This window comes from Homo sapiens, chromosome 2, assembly GCF_000001405.40.
Source record: "Homo sapiens chromosome 2, GRCh38.p14 Primary Assembly".
Taxonomy (NCBI): Eukaryota; Metazoa; Chordata; class Mammalia; order Primates; family Hominidae; genus Homo; species Homo sapiens.
This window is the reverse complement of record NC_000002.12, coordinates 54,239,793-54,262,800: the sequence shown is the minus strand read 5'-3', so window position 1 is coordinate 54,262,800 and position 23,008 is coordinate 54,239,793. Positions and strand designations below refer to the sequence as shown.

The 23,008-nt window shown below is 39.8% G+C and overlaps 2 protein-coding genes and 1 long non-coding RNA gene across 7 annotated transcripts in view; 2 read left to right on the top strand and 1 right to left on the bottom strand.

Moving 5' to 3' along the window:
* The window catches only part of ACYP2 (acylphosphatase 2), a 334,188-nt gene that overhangs the window by 42,500 nt on the left and 268,680 nt on the right, over positions 1-23,008 (bottom strand). The gene's annotated exons all lie outside the window — the stretch shown is intronic.
* Positions 1-23,008, top strand: part of LOC105374610 (uncharacterized) — a 40,619-nt gene that overhangs the window by 16,838 nt on the left and 773 nt on the right. The gene's annotated exons all lie outside the window — the stretch shown is intronic.
* On the top strand, positions 6,572-9,623 carry TSPYL6 (TSPY like 6). Its single transcript, NM_001003937.3, has one exon. The coding sequence runs from the start codon at positions 6,650-6,652 to the stop codon at positions 7,880-7,882; it is 1,233 nt and encodes a 410-aa protein (NP_001003937.2). The 5' UTR covers positions 6,572-6,649; the 3' UTR covers positions 7,883-9,623.

Below are 23,008 nucleotides of genomic sequence, written 5' to 3'. Positions count from 1 at the left end.
TGATACAGTTAAAACCAGAAATGCTTTACTTGAAACAAAAACTACAGTTTGCCATCCATAAAAAGTTATTTCTAAAAAAAAAAAGTAATCACAGAGAGATTATCCTAAAATGACAACTCAAGAAAATAATAGGAATTAGAGCAAAACTCTGTTCACCTCTCTGCCACCAGTGTAGAAACTGGAAGCTTTTATAGCAGCTGGAAAAAATTTGCTCCAAAAAATACTCTTATGGTAATGATGACATCATCAATGCACTCTTTTTCATTTTCAATTTTCCATGATTAACCAACTTATTCATTTACTGTAGTATCAATTTCTTTTCTAATACTTAAAAATTTTTATCTAAATTAGGCTAGAGTGATTATGTCTAACACTTAGATATTAGAAACATTTTATAATATCTATTTTAAAATTTGCATTTAAAACGTATTACTTAGTTTCACTGTTGTATTTCCTGAATTCTGAACACTTTTAAAATAAGAGTCTGGTATAAATACTGGTATTTTGGTTTTGTGTAACATAAACACTGTAACAGCAGTTGCATCATTTTGCTCCTGTATCGCATTCACTGGTGGGGATGCTTGACACTAGCCAGGACACAGGTCCAGTCACAAGCCTGTGGCTCTGCTCACCCCTGGCTGAAACACTCTGGGGCTAGTCTATCAGGCCAGGACTCTACATAGACCTTTTAGCCTTTTACAGTTTCACCAGGCACAATAATGTATATTTTCTTTCTATGAGTGCTACATTAGTAGAAAATGATTAAATCATAATTTATTAACTTTGCCAAGGTAAATCATTTCCCATGCCCTGGTAACTCAAATATTTTTCTCCTCTCTTATCTATATTTATATACAATAAAGACGACTGCAGCTGTAAAGCTACTTGGTTAATCACTTAAAACTTCTTTTTGACCATTTCCTTCACAAACAGTTTGATAAACTTTCCATGGGAAACAGAAGAAATTAGCAAAGTGTACATCTCCCTCTCTTGTTTACCAACATTCTTTTGAATCTTACGAAAGTAACATATTGTATTCAGGCCCTCAGCTTTCTAAACTGGGTGGCCTAGTTCTAAGAAAAATAGTTCTGTATGTTAAATCACTATATAAACAATGTTGTTTAAAGAATTTAAGTCAAGAGAGAGGGATCCCTTTCAAAACAAGAACTGAAAAAGAATATTTGAGGAGTCCAAGGAAAACAAGACTATACAATTCACAGGCTCTTTTCAGTCATCTAATATTGAGTTTATCTTTTAAAACATCATGTTTTTCTGTTTCCCAGAGAATTTAAACACTTTACAATTCTGTGATGTGCAGATTAGTGGCTAAATTGTACTCTTCCCAAGAAGCCATATCGTTCTTCCTTCCCTTACTCATTTTTCATTTTTCTTTCCTTTTTCTCCCTCTCCCTCTTTCTCCACATCTTTATTTCTGCCTCTAGTTGACAAAACATTTCAGAGATTTTATATAGCTCTCCTTGTTCTCCCTTTTTTTAGGAAAAAAAAATTATAGCCAGAATATTTCAGGCTCCAAAGTTGAAATTGTATATTATTCTTTTCAACTGTTTCTAGTCCATGCCTTAAAACAAAGCAGAATGGAACCCCAAAAGAAAATAACACTTCACAATGAACTCAAAGAATAATATCACTACTCACCTTTCAATTTTAAAAAATACATGTTTCCTAATGTATGTGTACCCTTGGGGAGATGTATAATACCAGGGTCTGTGACATTAAGAAATATAAAATTCTAAAGGTGTCTGCCTTCCCACTAACTGATTTTATCGAAAGGTAGTGGTGATATACCTTGGCCCTAGAATACATATCCAGCTTTGAGTCTCCTGTCAATGGTTTGGACCACCTATTGCCCTAAAACGTTGCTACTGTCATGTCATTCCCTCTCATTTCTCATGTTTTTTAGCTCCTGCCTCATTCTCACTTCTCTCTTGTCTTATCTCTCAGTGATTTCAATATACACATAGACTATCCTTCCCATCCTGGCCTGTTGGCTCATTGACCTCCTCCCCTGCAATGACCTTACCCTATCCTCTGTCTACCTCATTAGAGACCACCTTGGATTCATGAATGGGATTCTGACTAATCCCTTGCAGGTCATTCTCAAACCACTGTCTCTCAGCCCTCTAGCTTATTCTCCCTAGGACTCGACCCCAGGAGACCTTCAGTACCCTGAATCTTCCAATTCATTGATCAGACCACCTTTTCACTGACCTCATCCTGTATGTCTTCCGTCCTCCAGCTTAAACTCTAAGATCAATTATTATAATTATTCTCTTGCCCTTCTTGTTTCAGGTCTAAATCCAACTCTGCTTATTCACACTGCAGCTGTAAGTTGAATGCGGCTGGAGAAAAATTCATAGCCATGCTGATGGGCCTCATTTCCAATTCATGACTTTAACATTGTCTGACAATACTTTAGGTCACAGTCTAGTCACTCTTCTCTCTAGACAACTATTTCATACCTTCTTCTCTGTCCTCAGACTCCCACTGCCTGTTGCCCCATCCTCACACTCATTTGATCATCTTGCTTTCTATTTCACTGAGAACAATGAAGCAATCAGAAGACGATTTCATAAATCTCACTATCACTTCTACCTGTTTACTAGCATATACACCTCACACTTTGACTTCCTGCCAGTTACCACTAGTGAACTTGCCATGCTCCTAAAGCTGACATCTCCTTCTCCACTTAGGTACTAGATTCCACCTCCTCTTGTCTATTCCAGGACATCCCTCCAATAATGCTTCCTTCTGTCTCTTACATCATTAGTTTTATGCTCCCTACTGGATCATTCACATCAACCTGCTTCTTTACACATGCTTCATCTCCCATTTTAAAAACACGTTCTTTGATCCATTTCCCCACCAGCTATCATCCCATTTCTTTGAAACAAAACTTCTCAAAACAGTTGTATATACTCGCTGTTTTCACTTTTTCGCTTCCTGTTTTCTCTTAAACTTATTCCAGCCAAGCTATTATCCCACCACTCCACTGAAAGTAGCTTGACTACTCTTGTCATGATCCCATTTCTTTGTTTCTTTTTGGAGAAAAATTCCTCAAAAGAATTGTCAATATTCAATCTCCATTTCTTTTCTCCCTTTCCCTTTCAAACATATTTCAACCCCCACCACTCCACTGAAAGTGCTCTTTTTGAGTCACCAGTGACTCTTTGTTGTAAAATCCGACGGTCAATTCTCAGACCTCATACTAACTGACATGTGAGCACCCTGTGACACAGCTGAACACCTTCCTTTACACATTTGGCTTCAAGCACATTGCACTCTCTTGGTTTCCTTCCTACCCTGCTGGTCTCTCTTCAGTCTTCCTTGCTGTTTTTCCTCTTTTTCTTGACCTTATACTTTTGGAGTCTTCAGGGCCCAGCTTATCAGGACTCACTATCTTAGTGTTCTCATCCAACCCTTTGACTTTAAATTCCATGCATGCTGATTATCCCAAAATGTGAATAACTATCTCAGACCTCTCCTGAGCTCTAAACTCATTATGCCCACTTGGCATCTCAACTCTGGTGTCCAATAATCATCTCAAACAATATGTTAAAAAAGAGAGACAACTCTGATTTTCCTGCAAAGATCTTCCTCATTATAACCTTCACCATCTCTGCTTCCAGTAACTCCATCCTACCAGTTGCTCATGTCAAAATCATTGGAGTCATCCTTGACTTCTCTCTTTCTCTTACACCCCATGCTGGGAGGTGGGGCCTTTAAGAGGTGATCAGGTTGTTAAGATGGATTTATGTTTTTCTTGCAAGGCTGGATAACTTCTCATGGGAATGGATTAGTTTTTGAGAGAGTGGGTTGCTATAATGCAAGTCAGCCTCTCTTGTCCATTCTTTCCCAGGTGCTTGCTTGCTCTTCTGCTTTTTTGTCATGCTACTTCATAGCACAGCATATTGGACTTCTCAGCATCCAGAATTGTGAGTTAAATAAGCTTTTCTTTATAAATTACCCAGTCTCAGGTATTCAGTTACAGCAACAGAAAATGAACTAAGAGATCCCATAGCCAATTTACCATTAAATCAGGCTGACTCTACCATCATACTATGTCCACCATCCACCTCCATTGCTGCCACCTGGTCTGAGAAACATCTTTCACCTGGGTTACTGCAGTAGCCTCCCAAAAGATCCCCCTAAATCTACCATTGCCACCATACAGATTATTTTTCACCCAGGAGCCAGAGTGATTCACGCAAAACTTAAGTCAGATTTTGTGTCCTCTGCTCAAAATCCTGTAGTAATTTCCCATTTCACTAAGAATAAAAGCCAAATTTCTTACACTATCATACAAGACCCTACTTGATCTAGCCTCCCTCATTCACTGTGCTCCAGTCACGCTGGCCTCCTTGTTATTTCTTGAACATTCCAGACATGCTCCTGTCTTAGTGCCTCTGCTTAGCACTTCTCGTGCTGAAATGCTCTCCTCCAGGATTTCTACTAGCTGACTCCCTCAACTTCTTTGACTCTTTGCCAAAATCTCATATTTTCAATGAGGCTTCCTCTGACCACCCTATTTCATACTACAATCTCCTCCCCACTCCCTACCCCCAGGACTTTCAATCTCCTTGCTCTATTGTTTTTTCCATAGCACTTATAACTTTCTAATGTGCAATATTGGTTTCTTGTTATTATCTTTCTCCCCTGCTAAAATGTAAACCCCAAGAGGGAAGAAATCTTTGGTCTGTTCACCGTTATATCCAGAGGGCCTATAAGAGTACCAGGCACACAGTAGGTACCCAATAAACATTTGTTGAATGTTTAATAAATATTTGTTGAATGTTTAATAAATATAAAAATGGATTATGTGTTCCTTGAAGGTTTGGTAGCAGTCGCCTCAAAATCATTTGAACCTCATGCTATTTTTGTGGAAACATTTTTTTAAGCTACTGATTCCATTTGTTTATTGTCTCTAGGTCTATTTAGATTTTCTATTGCATTTCAGTCCGTGTTGATAAGTTATACATTTCTATGAAGCCATATATTTCATCTAAGTTTGAAAATGTATTGGCATAAAGCTGTCTAACATCCTGTCTTATATTTATTTAAACCATCAATGTGACTATAATTTTCTCTCCAAATATTGCTTATTTTCTCTCTCCTTTTATTATTAATCTTTGGTTAATGCTCTGTATTGTCTTACATAAATTTCTCCTGTTTATTATTACCTTTTCTCTATGTCCTTTGGCCTAATTCTATTGGTCTTTTATATATTTCTCAAATTATTTTTCATGATGAGTGATACAGCACTTGCCAATATTTCCAGTTTCCTCCTTCCAGGCTCAAGAGAAGATTACACCTCCCTGTCCTATTAAAGTTAGACAAGGCCAACTGACTAGCTGTAGCCAATGATTTATGTCACTTCTGACAGAAACATTTAAAAACCTATGCATGGGGAAAGAATTGTCTTTTCAATAAACAGTGCTGGGTCAATTAGATATTCATATGGAAAAAAAGAAATTGTGACCCCACTCATAAAAATCAATTCCAGATGGATGGCATATATAAATTTGAACAATCTTGGTGAGATAAGATTCCTCTTTTTTTCTTCTTTTTAAAAATAGAGATGGGGTCTTGCTGTGTTGCCCAGGCTGGTCTCCAACTCCTAGGCTCAACTGATCCTCCCGTCTCCGCCTCTCAAAGTGCTAGGATTACAGGTGTGAGGCACTGTGCCCAGGTGAGAGGTAAGATTTCTTAAACAGAGCAGAAAAACACTAAGGTAAAGGGGAAAATGACAAATTGGCACATATTAAGATGAAAAACTTTTGTTCTTCAAAAGGTACCATTAAGATGGTGAAAAAGTAGGCCAGGTACGGTTGCTCATGCCTGTAATCCCAGCACTTTGGGAGGCCAAGATGGGCGGATCACCTGAGGCCAGGAGTTCAGACCAGCCTGGCCAACATGGCAAAACCATGTCTTGACTAAAAATACAAAACAAAACAAAACAAAACAAACAAACAAAAAAACCGGGCATGGTGGTGGGCGCCTGTAATCCCGGCTACTTGGGAGGCTGAAGCAGGAGAATCGCTTGAACTTGGGAGGCGGCAGCTTCAGTGAGCTGAGATCATGCCATTGTACTCCAGCCTCGGCGACAGCGAAACTACGAGTCCAAAAGAAAAGTAACCCCACAGAGTGGGAGGAAATATTTGTAATACCTATACTGGAAGAGAAATATTTGTAATACCTATACTGGAAGAATGACTGACTAGTATCTAGCATGTACAAAGGCTTCCTACAAATCCATATGAAAAATAACGTCAGCCCAGTAGAGAAATAGGGAGAAGCCTCGGATACTGCACAAGAGAGAATATCCTAGTGGCCAACAAACACATGAGAAGGTTCTCAGCTCATTAGACTTTGGCTAAATGCAAATTAAAACCACCATGTAATATCATTACTCATCCAGCACGATGGCTAAAATAACAAAGACGTAAAGACACCACCACAGACTCGCGAGACTGAGGAGTGAGTGTCGCGAGACTGAGGGGTGGGTGTCGCGAGACTGAAGAGTGGGCGGCGCAAATGGGCGAGGTGTTTACTCGCCATTTTGTGTGAGGAACGTTGACGCTACCTACCTCTGGCCTGGCCTCTACCCACTGCTGCCCTGGCCGCTACCAACATGAGCCTCCCGGAGAGTCCTCACAGCCCCGCTACTCTCGACTATGCTCTGGAAGACCCGCACCAGGGCCAGAGGTCCCGAGAAAAGAGCAAGGCGACAGAGGTAATGGCAGATATGTTTGATGGCCGCTTGGAGCCAATCGTGTTCCCACCGCCCCGGCTTCCAGAGGAGGGGGTCGCGCCCCAGGATCCCGCAGATGGTGGCCATACTTTCCACATCTTGGTCGATGCGGGTCGCAGTCATGGAGCCATCAAAGCGGGGCAGGAAGTGACTCCACCACCCGCGGAGGGCCTAGAAGCGGCCTCTGCCTCGCTGACAACTGACGGCAGCCTCAAAAATGGCTTTCCGGGTGAAGAGACGCACGGCCTAGGTGGGGAGAAGGCTCTAGAAACCTGTGGGGCAGGGAGGTCGGAGTCTGAAGTGATTGCAGAGGGGAAGGCCGAGGACGTGAAGCCTGAGGAGTGTGCCATGTTCTCAGCCCCAGTGGATGAGAAGCCAGGAGGCGAAGAAATGGACGTGGCGGAAGAAAACAGAGCAATAGATGAGGTAAACAGGGAGGCAGGGCCTGGGCCCGGGCCCGGGCCCCTGAACGTGGGTCTCCACCTGAACCCCCTGGAGTCCATCCAGCTGGAACTGGACTCCGTGAATGCAGAGGCTGACAGGGCGCTCCTGCAGGTGGAGCGCAGGTTTGGGCAGATTCATGAATACTACCTGGAGCAGAGGAATGACATCATTCGCAATATCCCGGGCTTCTGGGTCACTGCTTTCCGCCACCACCCACAGCTGTCTGCCATGATTAGAGGCCAAGATGCCGAGATGTTAAGCTACTTAACCAATTTGGAAGTGAAGGAGCTCAGACACCCTAGGACAGGCTGCAAGTTTAAGTTCTTCTTTCAAAGAAACCCTTACTTCAGAAACAAGCTGATTGTAAAGGTGTATGAGGTCAGATCCTTCGGCCAAGTGGTGTCTTTTTCCACTCTAATCATGTGGCGCCGGGGCCATGGACCCCAGTCCTTCATTCATAGGAACCGACATGTCATCTGCAGCTTCTTCACCTGGTTTTCAGACCACAGCCTTCCAGAGTCCGACAGGATTGCTCAGATTATTAAAGAGGACCTCTGGTCAAATCCACTGCAGTACTACCTGTTGGGTGAAGACGCCCATAGAGCTAGACGTCGCCTGGTAAGGGAGCCAGTGGAGATCCCCAGGCCCTTTGGGTTCCAGTGTGGTTAACCTTTGCCTTTGGAATTACTCCTGCAGAAGGTTGCCTGCCACCACCAGCTGGACCTGAGCTTGGGCAACAGCATTAGGTATGCCCTTTACTTTTTTTGTTCTGACTTTCCTGTACCCTCTGTTTAAACTTTCCGTTCTCTCAACCTGAAGATTGAGACCTTGGTGGCTGTGCTGCTCCCCTTTCACCTGGTCGTCTTGCTATTCTGCATTAACATCACATGCTCCCAGCCGATGGGTCACATCCTTCTAAGCGAAGCGAATGATGCTGTAGGTTACACTGTATTTACCTTTGTTTGGACTCGGTTTGTTCCCAGGACCTCTGGTCTGGCTCCTCCTACTTGGATTTCTAGCTGTGTCTAAGAACCTATTCAGCTCACCCTGCTCTGCATCTGACAGTACAGGTGCATGGCCTGTGGACAATTGCTGGGCATTAATGAAGTCAAGGGAGAACAGCAGGGGGCAAGTTGGTCTGTGTGAATTATGGGACCCCATTACTTTTCCTGAGACTGGTCACCTATTGCTGCCTGCTACTGGCTATTCCCAAGTACTGCTACTTGGGCAGCTCCCTGCTGAGTGAACATATCCCAGACCATTGCCAGCTCCACTCTCTGGTTTCTAATAAACAGGGATCTCCAGAACACTGGTGGTGGACACAGCTTTCCTGTCAGCACACAAAAGACCTGTTCCTCTTCCAAAAGACCTCTCTTTACCACCACCACCCTCATCACTCAGAAACCCTACTGTTTGTTAGACAGGTGGTTGAGGGGACATGTCAGACCCTATCCTCATGGCAAGGTTAATATGTTGGTGTTCTTGACAAGTACCAGGCTTTCTCAGCCACAACCAGTGGATTCATTCAAAATCTAGGTACCTTTATTTGCCTCCCTTCCTGAACCTAATGAAGTGCCAGAGTGAGTGTACACTTTCTTTTCTCTCATCTCTCATAAATCTCTTCTGTCTTCCTTTAAAAAAAACAAAAGTAGTAGTTCAGAAACATCCGCAGAAGCAGGCTTTTTAGTTTCTTGGCTCTCTTTGTCATGTCCAGAGGCAGGCTGTTCTGTAAAATAGACTGCCAGACCTCTTATTGCCCATTCTCCTTTCTTCTCAGCCCCTCACCCCTCTTTAGCAATTCCTAGAGGGTTTAAAGGACTACAGAGCTGTATGGAATGAAAGGTGATTTCTAGTTCAGAGTGGATAGAAGAACTAAAGAGATTGTGATGGGTGCTCTAGGCAGGGAAAACTGAACAAAAAGGCAGAAATGATTCAGGGGAAAATCGGGCCTAGAATTTACACTGGGTTGACTAGTTATGATGGGAAGAGAAGTACTTTTTTTTAGTATGCACGTAGAAGAATAGAAGATGGTTGGAGTGTTAAATATGTTCCCTAGAGAAGGGTTCTTTGAAGAAACACTGCAATTTTGGGTGTTCTCTTTCTTGTTTGCATATGGCCTTACTTATGTGGAAGATTAATACTGTGTTATAATATTTTCTCTTTCTGTTTACTGGGAAGATTCAGCTGTACAGATTTTCTTTTACTTTCAAATAGAAATATTTGGAATAATATCAGTCTTTCTTTTTTGTACATTATGTGGATATGGATATTCATGGCAGTTTTCAGCCTGTTCTTGTTTCTGTTAAAACCGTATCTTTAACATTTTAATTTGAATAACTTGGTCTTATCTGATGCGGAAGACTGGAAACTATTGTGTTCATGGGTAAATAAACTACAAAATATTTATGGCTTTCATTGTCCTTTTTGATAACTTGTCCTGGTAACAACTTAGTAATTGACATGTCTCTTTTCTCAGCCTCCTCAGTAGCTGGGATTATAGGTGTGTGCCACCACGCCTGGCTAATTTTTGTATTTTTAGTAGAGATGGGGTTTCACCATGTTGGCCAGGCTGGTCTTGAACTCCTGACCTCATGATTCACCTGCCTCAGCCTAAAGAGTGGAAGTGCTTGTGAGATTGTTTTGTGAAATTGGAATTATACCATTGGCATATTTTTTTTTTTTTTGAGACGGAGTCTCGCTCAGTCGCCCAGGCTGGAGTGCAGTGGCACGATCTCAGCTCACTGCAAGCTCCGCCTCCCAGGTTCATACCGTTCTCCTGCCTCAGCCTCCCGAGTAGCTGGGACTACAGGTGCCCGCAACCACGCCCGGCTAATTTTTTGTATTTTTAGGAGAGACGGGGTTTCACCGTGTTAACAAGGATGGACTCAAATCTCCTGACCTTGTGATCCGCCCGACCATTGGCATATTTATTTTATGCCAATGGTATAATTCCATTATGCCAATGGGATCTTTCCTTATGAATGGATGATGGTAAAATTGAAGCATGTCACTGAAAAAAAACAAAACAAAGATGATGGAAAATAACAAAGGTTGAAAATAACAGAGATACCAAAAGGCCCATATACTGTTTATGGGAGAGCAGCTTTGTACAGATACTTTAGAAAGTTGTTTGGCAGCACCAGTGCGAACCCTCTGATCTAGTTCTAGGAATATACCCAACGGAAATATATACATATATTCACTCAAAGACATGCATAAAGTATTTCTAACAACAGAATTTTAATAGCTGACACTGGGAGCTGCCCTAATGTCCATCAATAGTGGAAAAAAAAACCCAATTTTTTAAAATGTTCACACAATGGTATACTATTAAGAAAGAATTATGCCTACATGCAATAATATGAATGAATCTCACAAATATGTTGTTGGATGTAAGAAGCCAGACAGAGTACATGCTATATAATTCTTTTATGTATGAAGTGTAACAGCAGGTAAAACTAATCTATGGTGGTAGAAGTCAGAATAGTGCTTACTACCAAGGACAGTGACGGGTCTGAGATTTACGCTCCTTGCAAGCTTAACAAGTTAGCCTTACATGCTAGGTCAGAGACAAAGGACCTTACAACTCAATAGTCAGAGTGTCAGTGTTTGCACTGGTTCCCTGAGCTCTAATTCCCACAAGGCAACAGAAAGTCAAGTGACACCTGTACATACAGTGGATTGTGTTACAGGAGAGGAACTCCTGTAGGGAACATAGGGAATCTGAATCTTTTATAATGGGCAGTAAGCATGCCTGTCCTTTTCGCTTTGAAGGGAGACATCTCTATTATACCGAATAGTAAGTAAACCTGTTCTTTGCTCTCTAAGGGACATAATCTCTATTTTCAAGACTATAAGCACACCTGCCCTTTGCTCTGGAGACATGGTCTTCCAAGGCTGCCTTGGAAAGACATTCTGAACACACGCAGTCAGTGCCTTTGCTCACAAGATATGCAGAAACATGAGACACATGGGAGAATTGTCTCCCAATAAACTTTTAGGGTGGTAAGTACCTATTGATTGGAAGGAAGTAAGAGATGGTAGATTCTGAAGCGCTGGTGATGTTTTGTGTCTTGATCTGGGTGCTGGATAAGTAAGTATATTCAACTTGTGAAACTTCACTGAGTTGTACATTTAGAAAACATACTTCTCTGTATGTATATTGTACTTTAATATTCTTGCTTAAGAAAAACCCAAAGTAAGCAAATAAATTCAAAACAAAAAAAAACACATTATTTTTCTGGAAACTCTCTGCCAGAAAAAGGCCAATTTAAAAGTATGCTGCACATCTTTTTGGGTAAACCATGAATTGATATGTGAAAATTGTAATAGGATCATTTACTAGGCCCATTCAAATGGTTAAAATCCATTTTCTAAGAATAGAAACACTGAATTATCTAGGCATGGGCCATCAACTCTTAGTATTTACAGTGCTCCACTCATTTTGTCAACTGACCTTTATCACAGTTTTTCAGTTATAAACACCTCTTTAATAATGGCTCATGATGGTTCATTTTTTATCTTCCAGCCAAATAGATCATCAAATCCATATATTTTTTATGCTGTTCAACAGGGATGATGCTATTCTGAAGACTGGCGTCACCATGTACTTGCTTTTTAAGATGCTCTATATTTCAAAGTTTCATGTCTTTTCAGGCCTCCCTCTTTGAGGTATATTTCATTTGATAATTAAGAGATAAAAACAATTTCAAACAATACCTATGGCATATGCTATAGACAATTACAGTATTAGTACCAACAAAAACTTCTATAGAATTATAATGAAATCATTAGCTTTGGCTTATTTGAGCAAAATCTTTCCACTTCTGTATACAGCAATGTATTTGGGTGATAATAATTTACCATTTGAAAATGAAGTAGTTTTTCTTTTACATAAAGAGTAGAGTATAAAAACAATAATGTAAAAGATTAACTTACCGCCTTTGAAACATAAGGTAGATTTAATTAGGCTTTTTATATCAATTCATATCACATAATTTTAAGTGGCATCCATATAGATGACTTGCCCTGTTTTCCAGTGGCACAATTTTCTCTTTGCTATTGGTAGCTATCAACATATGAGATAGAAGATACTTTCAACGCCCCCCCCACCCCACCCACCTGCCCTGAGACGGAGTTCTGCTGGAGTGCAATGGCACAATCTCGGCTCACTGCAACCTCTACCTCCCCAGGTTCAAGTGATTCTCCTGCCTCAGCCTCCTGAGTAGCTGGGATTACAGGCGTGCGCCACCACGCCGAGCTAAAGTATTTTTAGTAGAAACAGGGTTTCACCATGCTGGCCACGCTGGTCTCGAACTCCTGACCTCGTGATCTGCCAGCCTTGGCCTCCCAAAGTGCTGGGATTATAGCGTGAGCCACCACGCCTGGCTGAGATAGAAGATACTTAAAGTAGAGGGGTCCAGAATTCAAATTTAATCCGGTTTACTAAGATAGATGAGGATGGAAAAGGTAGGTGATATCCTCACATTTAGCATTAAACTAAAATCTAGAGCATAAAATAGAAAGTGCACTGAGCTACATGTCAGGGGTTGGGGGCTCTGCCATAAACCAGATGTTAACTTAAGCAAACCACTTAAAGGATGAAAACTATGTGAGTTTTCTTTTTTTTTTTTTTTTTTTTTTTTTTGAGACAGGGTCTTGCTCTGTTGCCAAGGCTGGAGTGCAGTGGTACAATCACAGCTCACTGCAGCCTCACTGTTCCTGGGCTCAAGTGATCTGCCTCAGCCAGCCTAGTAGCTGGGACTACAGGCACATGCCACCATGCCCAGCTAATTTATTTATTTTTTCTGGTAGTGATAAGGTCTCACTGTGTTGCCCAAGCTCATCTTGCACTCCTGGGCTCAAGCAATCCTCCTGCCATGGCCTCAGAGTGCTGGGATTTTAGGCATGAGCCACTGTGCCCAGCCCATTTTTGTCTTTTTAGTAAGTTTTGAAACATAATCTCTTCTAAATATGAAGATTTACCTACCCCTTAAATATAAGTTTTCCACAAGGTTCTGTGACCTCCCTCTGGCTTTTCTTTAAACGCTTTCTGAGTGACTTTACCCATGCCATGGCCAGAGCATGTAAATGACGGAGAATGTAAACTAGAGCCATCACCTTTGAAATAAGGACTCTTTTTTTTTTTTTTTTGAGACGGAGTCTCACTCTGTCACCCAGGCTGGTGTGCAGTGGCGCGATCTTGGCTCACTGCAAGCTCCACCGAGGTAGGAAATAAGGACTTTTAAATTGGAATCGCCCTTATTCCAAATTAGAGTCTGACAAGTCAATTTGCACAATGCTTCCAGAATTGTTCCCTTTCCATATCTATTCTCACCTTAATACCTCTTGTCTACATTATTGGCAGTCCCAGGAGTCCCCTTCCTGAATATTATCTCTCTTTTCCCATCATTTACACTATTGACAAAGTAATCATGTCCCTTTTGCTCAAATATCCTTGTCAATGCACCACTGCCTGCAGAAGAAAATCCAAACACCCTACTACTGCATCCAAGATCAGCTACAACCAATCCCCTACCTAACATTCTTACCAGAGTCCACTCACATGGAACTCCTTACTATTCCTTAAGTAGCCCATGTACAGTCCCGATTCTGTGCCTTTGCTCATGATGTTCCTTAACCTTGGATTCATTTGCCCACCTCAACCATGGAAATCACACCATTCCTTCTAAACTGAAATGCCGTATCTTCTAAATCATCTTTCCAAAACCTCCTACCTCTTGTAGCATATACTCTGTAGAATTTATAATTCATAAAAATGTATTTTGAGCTTAGTTGTTTACAGATGTTCGTAGTTTATATTTGTCACTCAATTTTAAGTTCTTCAAGGGCCAAGATGATGTTTTAGTCATCTTCTTTTCTTCGGTGATGAGTAAGACATAGTCCCTGTTCTCAAGCAGCCTACAGTCTAGCATAGGAGACAGACAATCTACAGTGTGACAAATGCCAAACTTAAGTGTAAGCTTGGGGGCTATGACATAAGAGGGAAATTTTCCCTACCTGAAGTTTAGGGAAGGCTTCCTATAAGAAGTGGCTTCTAAGTTCCATTCTAGACACCATACTAGACCATAAGTTTCTTCAGAGTAGGGGGCTATCTTTTCATCTATGTATCCCTAGGGCATGGTATTATATCTAGCACAAAGTGGACCCTTTAAGTAAATCAAAGATGCCCTTCTGTTTTTAGTTCTAAATGTGTAGAGTAGGAATCGTATGTCTTTTGTGATACTTATCTATTCCACCTATCATATGGTCAATAAATAATAATTGGCTAATGAAAACCTAATCAAACAATAACATACTTTCAGCCTTGCGGTTCTAGATAAGTGTTAATGGACATGGTTGCCCAAATAATTCCTAAGAAAATCCAGAGCAGAACTTCAGTCAAATCCTTCTAAGTACATTAGTTCTAATTCTCAGAAAGGAGGCTGTGTGGATAAATGAGTTGCTTTGCAATTATAGTCCCACACTGAGTCAAACTGCAACATTTATTCTTTAAGTTAATAAAAGTTAAAAACAACAGGCTTTATTACAGCCATTAACAATAGGCTATGGTAATAGTTATCATCTGTTAAAGTCTTAGGGCATGGTAGCCACTGGCTAAGCACTTTGTGTGCATTTTCTTAATTCTCATATAACTGTACAAAGTATTTCTGTCCCCATTCTGCAGCTGAGGAATGTGAGACTCAGTTGAGAATATGTTACTTCTGTCCAGTCACCCAGCCAGGTGGTGGTAAATCCAGAATTCTAACCCAAGTCTATCTGACTCCAGAGTCTGATAACTACATATGGACAGAAATACTATCTTTTGTTTCACAGTAGAACATTATGAAAATAATAATTGGCTTAGATTTTTTCCATTTGCATATAAGTTTTCTTAGCATATGAAACATTTACTAATTTTGATGTTAAAGTTATGACACAGGTGAATCTAAAATCAGAAGTATAGCACTAATATGTAATTGTTTATGTTTTCCATTTAAATATAATAAATATTATGACAATTTCTTTTGAAATCTGAATACCACCTACAAATGAATATAAGATACAGTAGTGCCTATGATACTTTCACTGTTGGCTAAAATCACCTTGCTAAAGGCACTGTAAAAACTGAAGTATATTTTGAGGTGTTCAGCAGCTCCAATGAGCTTTCTGCTTTAATTCCAGATGTAACCAACAGCATTTGGAAGACAATGTACTTTGTCCAGGAAGAGCAAATAGCAAAGAGTCTTTTTGGGTGGGGAAGGGATTATGTCACTGTCTAGAACTCTCCTAAGATAAACTTGGCTTGTCAGCAATGGCAGGCTGGAGGAAGAATGCACAGCCAAGCAATACACGTGAAGTCCCAGAAGTGAGATGAGAAGAGAAGGATAAAATGGAAAAATCTCAAGGAGAGAGCACAAAGGAAGAGAAATAATGTTATAGAGAAATAGTGTTAGCCTAACATACCCCAAAAAACGCTGCTATAAGACCTAAGAGACAGTGTTCCAAATTGTCTTCTAATCTAATTTTAGGACTTTGGGGCAGGGAATAGTTACAACCTTCCTGTGCTTGGAATTTAATACTCATGATGGGAGGAAGGTAGACTAGAGGGTCTTAAGTGTCTTTCCTTTTAGAGCTTTTATCCTATCATGGTGCAGGTACATAGCCCTGGGGCTTTACTATGATTTAGAAATATGTTGAAATCAATGGTAGAAATAAGTGGATACCTTCTTAACTTGATAAAATATACCTTGATCCCAAAGTAACTATTATGCCTAGCAGGACAACACTAGAGGTATTCCCACTCAATTCAGGAACAAAGAAGGATGCTCATTTGTCACCACCATTACTTAACATCCTAGATATTAGATATTAGACAATACAATTACTAAGAGAAAGAAACTAGAGGTATAAAAATTTAGAGAACATAATAAAACTACTACAATTTCTGATGAATATAGAAAACCCTATGACATTCAATTGAAAAAGTAAACAAGAAAACTTAGGCAGCACGATAGAGAATTATTATATCAATAGATTTTAGATTACAAACACAGAAAGTTGGAAGATGAAATGGGGGAAGACTATCTACAATAGCAACAGAAAAAGATGAAATACTTAAGAAAAAGCTTTAGAAATGTGCCATATTTACTAATAAAATTTTAAGGCATTCCTGAAGACACAAAGACTTGTACAAAGGGGAAGACATACCAAGTTAGTTAGATAGGAAGACTCAACCTCATAAAGTTGTTCTCCCTAAGCTAATTTAGCAATTAATTATAACTACAGTAACAAGGCCAAAAATTGGAGAAGGGTAGGGGTCGGGGGAGAATGAGACAAACAAATTCTAAAGTATACATTAAAAAATAACACACAGATCAGTAGAACAGAATAGAGAACCCAGAAATTAATCCATTTATCTACAGGCAACCCATTTTTGACAAAGATGCCAAGAACGTTAATTGGGGGAAAGAACAATCTTTTCAATAAATGGTGCTGGGAAAACTAAATAGCCACATGCAGAAGAATGAAACTAGACCTCCATCTCTCACTCTACATAAAAATCAACTTCAAGTGGATTAAAGACCTAAATGTAATACCTAAAACTATAAAACTCCTAGAGAAAAACATAGGAGAAAAGTTCCAGGACATTGGTCTGGGGCAAGATTTTATGAATAAGACCTCAAAAGCACAGGCAACAAAAGCAAAAATGAACAGATTATATCCAACTGAAAAGCTTCCGCACATCAAAAGAAACAACAGAGTGAAAAGGCAACCTGTAGAATGGAGAAAATATGTGCAAACTATTCATCCACTAGGGGATTAATATCCAGAATATACAAGGAAATCAAACATCGCAACAGCAAAAAAAAAAAAATCTGATTAAAAAATGGGCAAATGATCTGAATAGACATTTCTCAAAAGAGACATACATTTATCCAAAAAAATACATGGAAAAAAAAGCTCAACATCACTAGTCATGAAGGAAATGCCAATCAAAACCACAGTGAGATATCATCTTACCCCAGTTAGGATAGCTATTATCAAAAAGACAAAAAACAACGATGCAGAGAAAAGGAAACACTTACACACTGTTGGTGGGAATGTAAACCAACAAAACCACTATGGAGAACAATATTCCTCAAAAAACTGCAAATGGAACTGCCATATGAACCAACAATCCCACTACTCAGCATTTATCCAAAGGAAAGGAAATCAGTACATTGAAGAGGTATCTGCACCCCCATGTTTATTGCTGCACCATTCAAAGTAGCTAAGATAAGGAATCAACTTAAATGTCCAACAATAGATAAATGAATCAAGGAAATGTGGTATATATACCCAATGGAACACAATTCAGCCATAAAAAAGAATGAAATCCTGTGATTCCTGCAACATGGATGGGACTGAAGAACATTATGTTAAGTGAAAATAGCCAGGAACAGAAAGTTAAACACCTCATATTCTCATTCATATGCACGAGCTAAAAAAAAAGCCAATCTCTTAGAAGTAAAAAGTAGAAAAGAAGTTACTAGAGGATAGGGAGATGGGGGAAGGGGAAGATGGTGAGATACGTTAAAGGACACAAAATTACAGCTGTACAGGAAGAATAAGTTCTGTTTTATAGCACTATAGGGTGACTATAGTTAACAATATTACATATTTTCAAATAGCTAGAAGAGAGGGTATTGAATTTTTCCAATACAAAGAAATTATAAATGTTTGAGATTATGGATATGCTGATTATCCTGATCTGATCACTAAGCATTGTATATATTGAAACATCACTATGTACTCCATTAATATGTACAATTATTATGTGTCAATTCAAAAATGAAAATTATACAGAAAAAAATAAAACAAGGATTTCAAAGAAATCTCTAAAAGAGAATAAAATGAGGGGGACAATTCCTAGCATTTATTATAAAATAATATAAAGCTACAATAGTTGAAGGTGTATTCCTGACACAGGAATAGACAAATCAAGAAAACAGAACAGGAAATTCAGAAATAGATCTCAATGCATACAGAATTTGGTGTATGATACACAGGGTATCTAAGCCAGGCACAGTGGCTCATGCCACTGTAATCCCAGCACTTTGGGAGTGCTGTAATCCCAGCACTTTGGGAGGCTGAGGCAGGCAGATCACTTGAGGTCAGGAGTTCGAGACAAGCCTGGCCAACATGGTGAAACTCCATCTCTACTAAAAATATAAAAATTAGCCGGGTGTGGTGGTGCACACCTGTAAGCCCAGCTACTGGGGAGGCTAAGGCGCAAGAATTGCTTGAACCCAGGAGGCGGAGGTTGCAGTGAACTGAGATTGCACCACTGCACTCCAGCCTGGGTGACAGAGTGAGGCCCCATCTCTAAATAAATAAATAAATACATAAATACATAAGTTAAATCAGTGAGGAAAAGACGAACAACTCCAATTGTCTTGAGAAAACTGGAGAGGTGTTTTTAATAAAATTAAGTTGAATTCATGCCTCATACTATATACCAGGTAAATTCTAAAGGAGTAAAGATTTAAATTTTAAAAATGAAATAATTAAAATACTAGAAGAAAACAAAGGAAACTATCTCTACTAACTCAGAGTGGGGAAGGCTTTCTGTTAAAATCTGGAGACATAAAAGACTTTCAGGTCAGCTGTGGATTAAAAAAAAAAAACAGCAACAACTATAGTCACACACACAGCATAACAGTGTTTCCATCAGTGATGGACTATGGGCCTGCCAGTAATTCCAGCACTTTGGAAGGCCAAGGCAGGCAGATCACTTGAGGCCAGGAGTTCGAGACAAGCCTGGCCAACATGGTAAAACCCCATCTCTACTAAAAAAAAGATACAAAAATTAACCAGCCGTGGTGGCATGCATCTGTAATCCCAGGTACTTGGGAAGCTAAGGCAGGAGAATCGCTTGAACCAGGGAGGCAGAGGTTGCAGTGAGCTGAGATTGTGGGGATTACTCAGGAGGCTGAGGCAGGAGAATCACTTGAACCTGGGAGGCAGAGGCCGCAATGAGCTGAGATTGCGCCACTACACTCCAGCCTGGGCGACAGAGCGAGACTCCATCTCAAAAAATAAATGAATGAATGAACAAATAAATAAATAAATAAGATGGACTATGTATGACAATGGTCCCATAGGATTATAATACCATATTTTCACTGTGCCTTTTCTATGTTTAGGTACACAAATACTTACCATTGTGTTGCCATTGCTTACAGTATTAAGTACAATAACGTGCCATATAGGTCTGTAAAATAGGAGCAATAGGCTATACCACACATCCTAGGTGTGTAGTAGGCTCTACCATCTAGGTTTGTGTAAGTCTACCCTACAATATTTGCACAACAAAGAAATTGCCTAATGATGCATTTCTCAGAATGTATCCCCAGTGTTAAACGCGTTATTGTACTGGAAAAAAATTTTCAATCTACATGACAAAAAAAATTTTTCAAACGAAAAATGTCAAACTTGGGAAAAAATATTGTCATCTCATATCACAGACAAAGGGCTAATCTCCCTGATATAGAGAGCACTTTAAATCACTTTAATCCACAAATTCATATTAAGCAAATTCTTATAATGGTAAGAAAAAAGATGTAACCAAAGGGTTGCAAATTAATGATTCAGGAGTTTGCTAAAGGGTGCTAACTTCAGATAATACATACGGTCATGCATCATTTAATGACTGGGATACATTCTGAGAAATGCATCGTTAGGTGATTACACTGTTGTGTGAACATCATAGACTGTGCTTACATGAATCTAGATGGTATAGCTTACTACCCACCTAGGATATGTGGTATAACCTATTTGCTCCTAGGCTACAAACCTAGGCTGTCGCCTAGACTGGAGTGCAATGGCGCACATGGAGTGCAATGGAGTGTATAGTATGCCATGTTACTGAATAGTGTAGGCAACTGTAACACAATGACATTTGTGTATCTAAACATAAAAAAGGTATAGTAAAAATATTAATTTTAATCTTGTGGGACCACTGTTATATATGCAGTTCATCGTTGATCAAAATGTTGAATTATGTGGCATATGACTGTATATATTTTACCTAAAACATCAAGTCATTATGTGGCATATGACTGTATATATTTTACCTAAAGCATCAAATATATGTTCATTCTGCTAAATATAATCCAATTTTCCATTTTAATGGAGAAAACCAATAACCACAATGACAAGGTGAAATGGGCAAGACAAGCCTTCAGTTGACGTCACAGGACATCAATGATGAGCAAAGTCATCTCAGGATTACTTAATTCTCAAAGGGTATTCTATCTACCAAGCCTGGTGGTTTGCATCTTGTTTGACGTTGTATAGATGACAAAACTGCAACTGCTGCAGACTGCAGTCACTGTGCTGGAATGTCAATTCTGTAATGCTGTGCATGGTTTGAACAGATTAATTCAAATGTTTTGAACATAGCAAACCTGCCATTACTTTCACCAAGCATGCAATATAGTCATAGCGTCTGCACTTTTACTACGCGTATTATAAATACATGGCTAATTTCTCCCATATGCTATTATTTCAGCTGAATTTTTTTCTTTTTTGATACAGTGTCTTGCTGTGTCACCTAGGCTGGAGTGCAATGGCGTGATCTTGGCTCACTGCAACCTCTGCCTCCTGGGTTCAAGTAATTCTCCCTGCCTTAGCCTCTGGAGTAGATGGGATTATAGGTGCCTGCCACCACGCCCAGCTAATTTTTGTATTTTTAGTAGAGGCAGGGTTTCACCACGTTGGCCAGGCTGGTCCTGAACTCCTGACCTCAGGTGATCCACCTGCCTTGGCCTCCCAAAGTGCTGGGATTACAGGCGTGAGCCACTGCGCCTGGCCTCAGCTGAAATATTTTCATACTCTTAATGGCAACACATTTGATAAATAAATCTGATACAAGTGAAACATGGTTTATCCCTTGCAAAACTTTATTACATCATTCAAGAGAAAGACGTGACTATCTTCACTTCTCCTGGCATAGACGAATCTCTACCTCATGGAGGAGAAAAAAAAAACTGCAAAACTTTCTGCAATTCCCATTTGACTTCAGATAGAAACAACACAACAATATCAGAGGTCTTAATTAAAGAGGTTTGAGGGAAAGCCCAGGGTATCATGCCTTGAATTTTTTCAAGCTAAGCCTATACCTCCTGAGCACCTGAGTGCATACTTCAACACATTTGTTAGTAGAAGGCTTCATTTTTCGGTTCAATATCATACTTAAACCAGCTGGAATTTTTAGAGCAGTCCAAGAACACCCTGTGTTATAACATTGCTATTTCCATGGAAATTTGGATAAGGGTCAGCTGGCATATATTATAAATAGTTTCCCATGATATCCCTAAATTAGAGATTAATTCAACTTGTAACAACTGAATTGACTTAATTAAAAAATGTTTTTCCTGCCTTGTCATTCACAGGCATTTGGGGAGGGAGTGGGGGTGCTCTACTCTGAGACTCCTTGCTCCAAGGCTGAAAAGATGATACTCTTTGGGCCATGTCAATGGCACTTGCTCTCCAGCCAGCCAAAGGAAGAAAAAGGAATACAAATAAAGGCTGCCAGATTATAAGCAAAGACTTTACCAAGAAAAATAAAGTGGTAGAAAACCTCATTACCTCAATGAGAACAGACATTCATCTCCTCGGCCTAAATGTCTTCTTTCTAAAATTACTAAAGTAAAGTACAAGATCTGGATTATGTGTCAAAGGTGAAAGGGACCTTATTTTGCAGCCTAAGCCACTGAAGCAAGGAAAACATAGTCTGGGTCAGAATGTTAGGTAACAGATGCCCTAGATATAGGCCCCAAGTTTCCTGACTCTTAGTTCTCTATGTTCCCCACCCCGTTTGCCAGAGAGCCACTCATCTCACCAGGGAGTTGCTCATCTAAATTGCATCCTTTGTAATACGAGCCTGAGTCTTAGGAATTCAACTTGTCACAAGTATGATGAGGCAGGGAGTGCCGCAAAGACAAAGTTTTGAGGACCAATAAAAATGGGAAAACTAAAAGTTGGAGAATGAGAAATTATTGATATCTTTAGGGGTGGTACAGGAGCTCCGGTTAGAGACAGCCCTTCCCAGTTATTAGAAAAAGAAACACCTCTAAAGTAGAGAAGAATGAGTTCTCCAGGCTACAAAGGTCTGATGTGCTATTTTTTTAGAAAAAGTGAATTTTCTTTTTTGTTTGTCTGCTCACCAAGAAGGCTTCACCACATATGCAGAATGATTCCTGCATGAGGTCTGTTTTCTACTCTAAAGTAATAAGCTGATATAACTAGTTTATTCATTATTCCCTTCTTAGGGGATTGTGACTTCATTCCTCACCTAAACCTAGTTTCCAAAAAGTGCAACACTAAGATCATGGTGACACCCACCCCCATCTAAGCTACAGACTCTATGGGCATTCTCAGTGCTACTCACCTTCATTACGTTAATTCCAGATCTTTCTCAAACATCTACTTGGTCACATAAGATGGTTACAGAGCTCTAACTTCGTTCTGAGAAGAAATTCCCACCCCTAATGACTAACTCTAATCCCCTGGACCATGGAGTCACAATTCCTTCTGGGTAATGCTCTAAACTGGTGAGAATATGTAAAATTTTTGTTATAAATACTTTAAATTTAGGGATTACTTCTAAAGTACTTCTCAGAAGAATTTTAAAAATAAAGAAGTGAATAGATTCATATGTAAACACATGACATTTGGAAATATTTACCAGTTTCTTCTTCCCTATTCTACCATGAAAACAGCATATTTAGCTTCTTGGTGAGCCACAAC

What these genes read in the sequence shown, in the direction of transcription:
- TSPYL6 (NM_001003937.3), top strand. Translation starts at nt 6,650, where the DNA reads ATGAGCCTCCCGGAGAGTCCTCACAGCCCCGCTACTCTCGACTATGCT.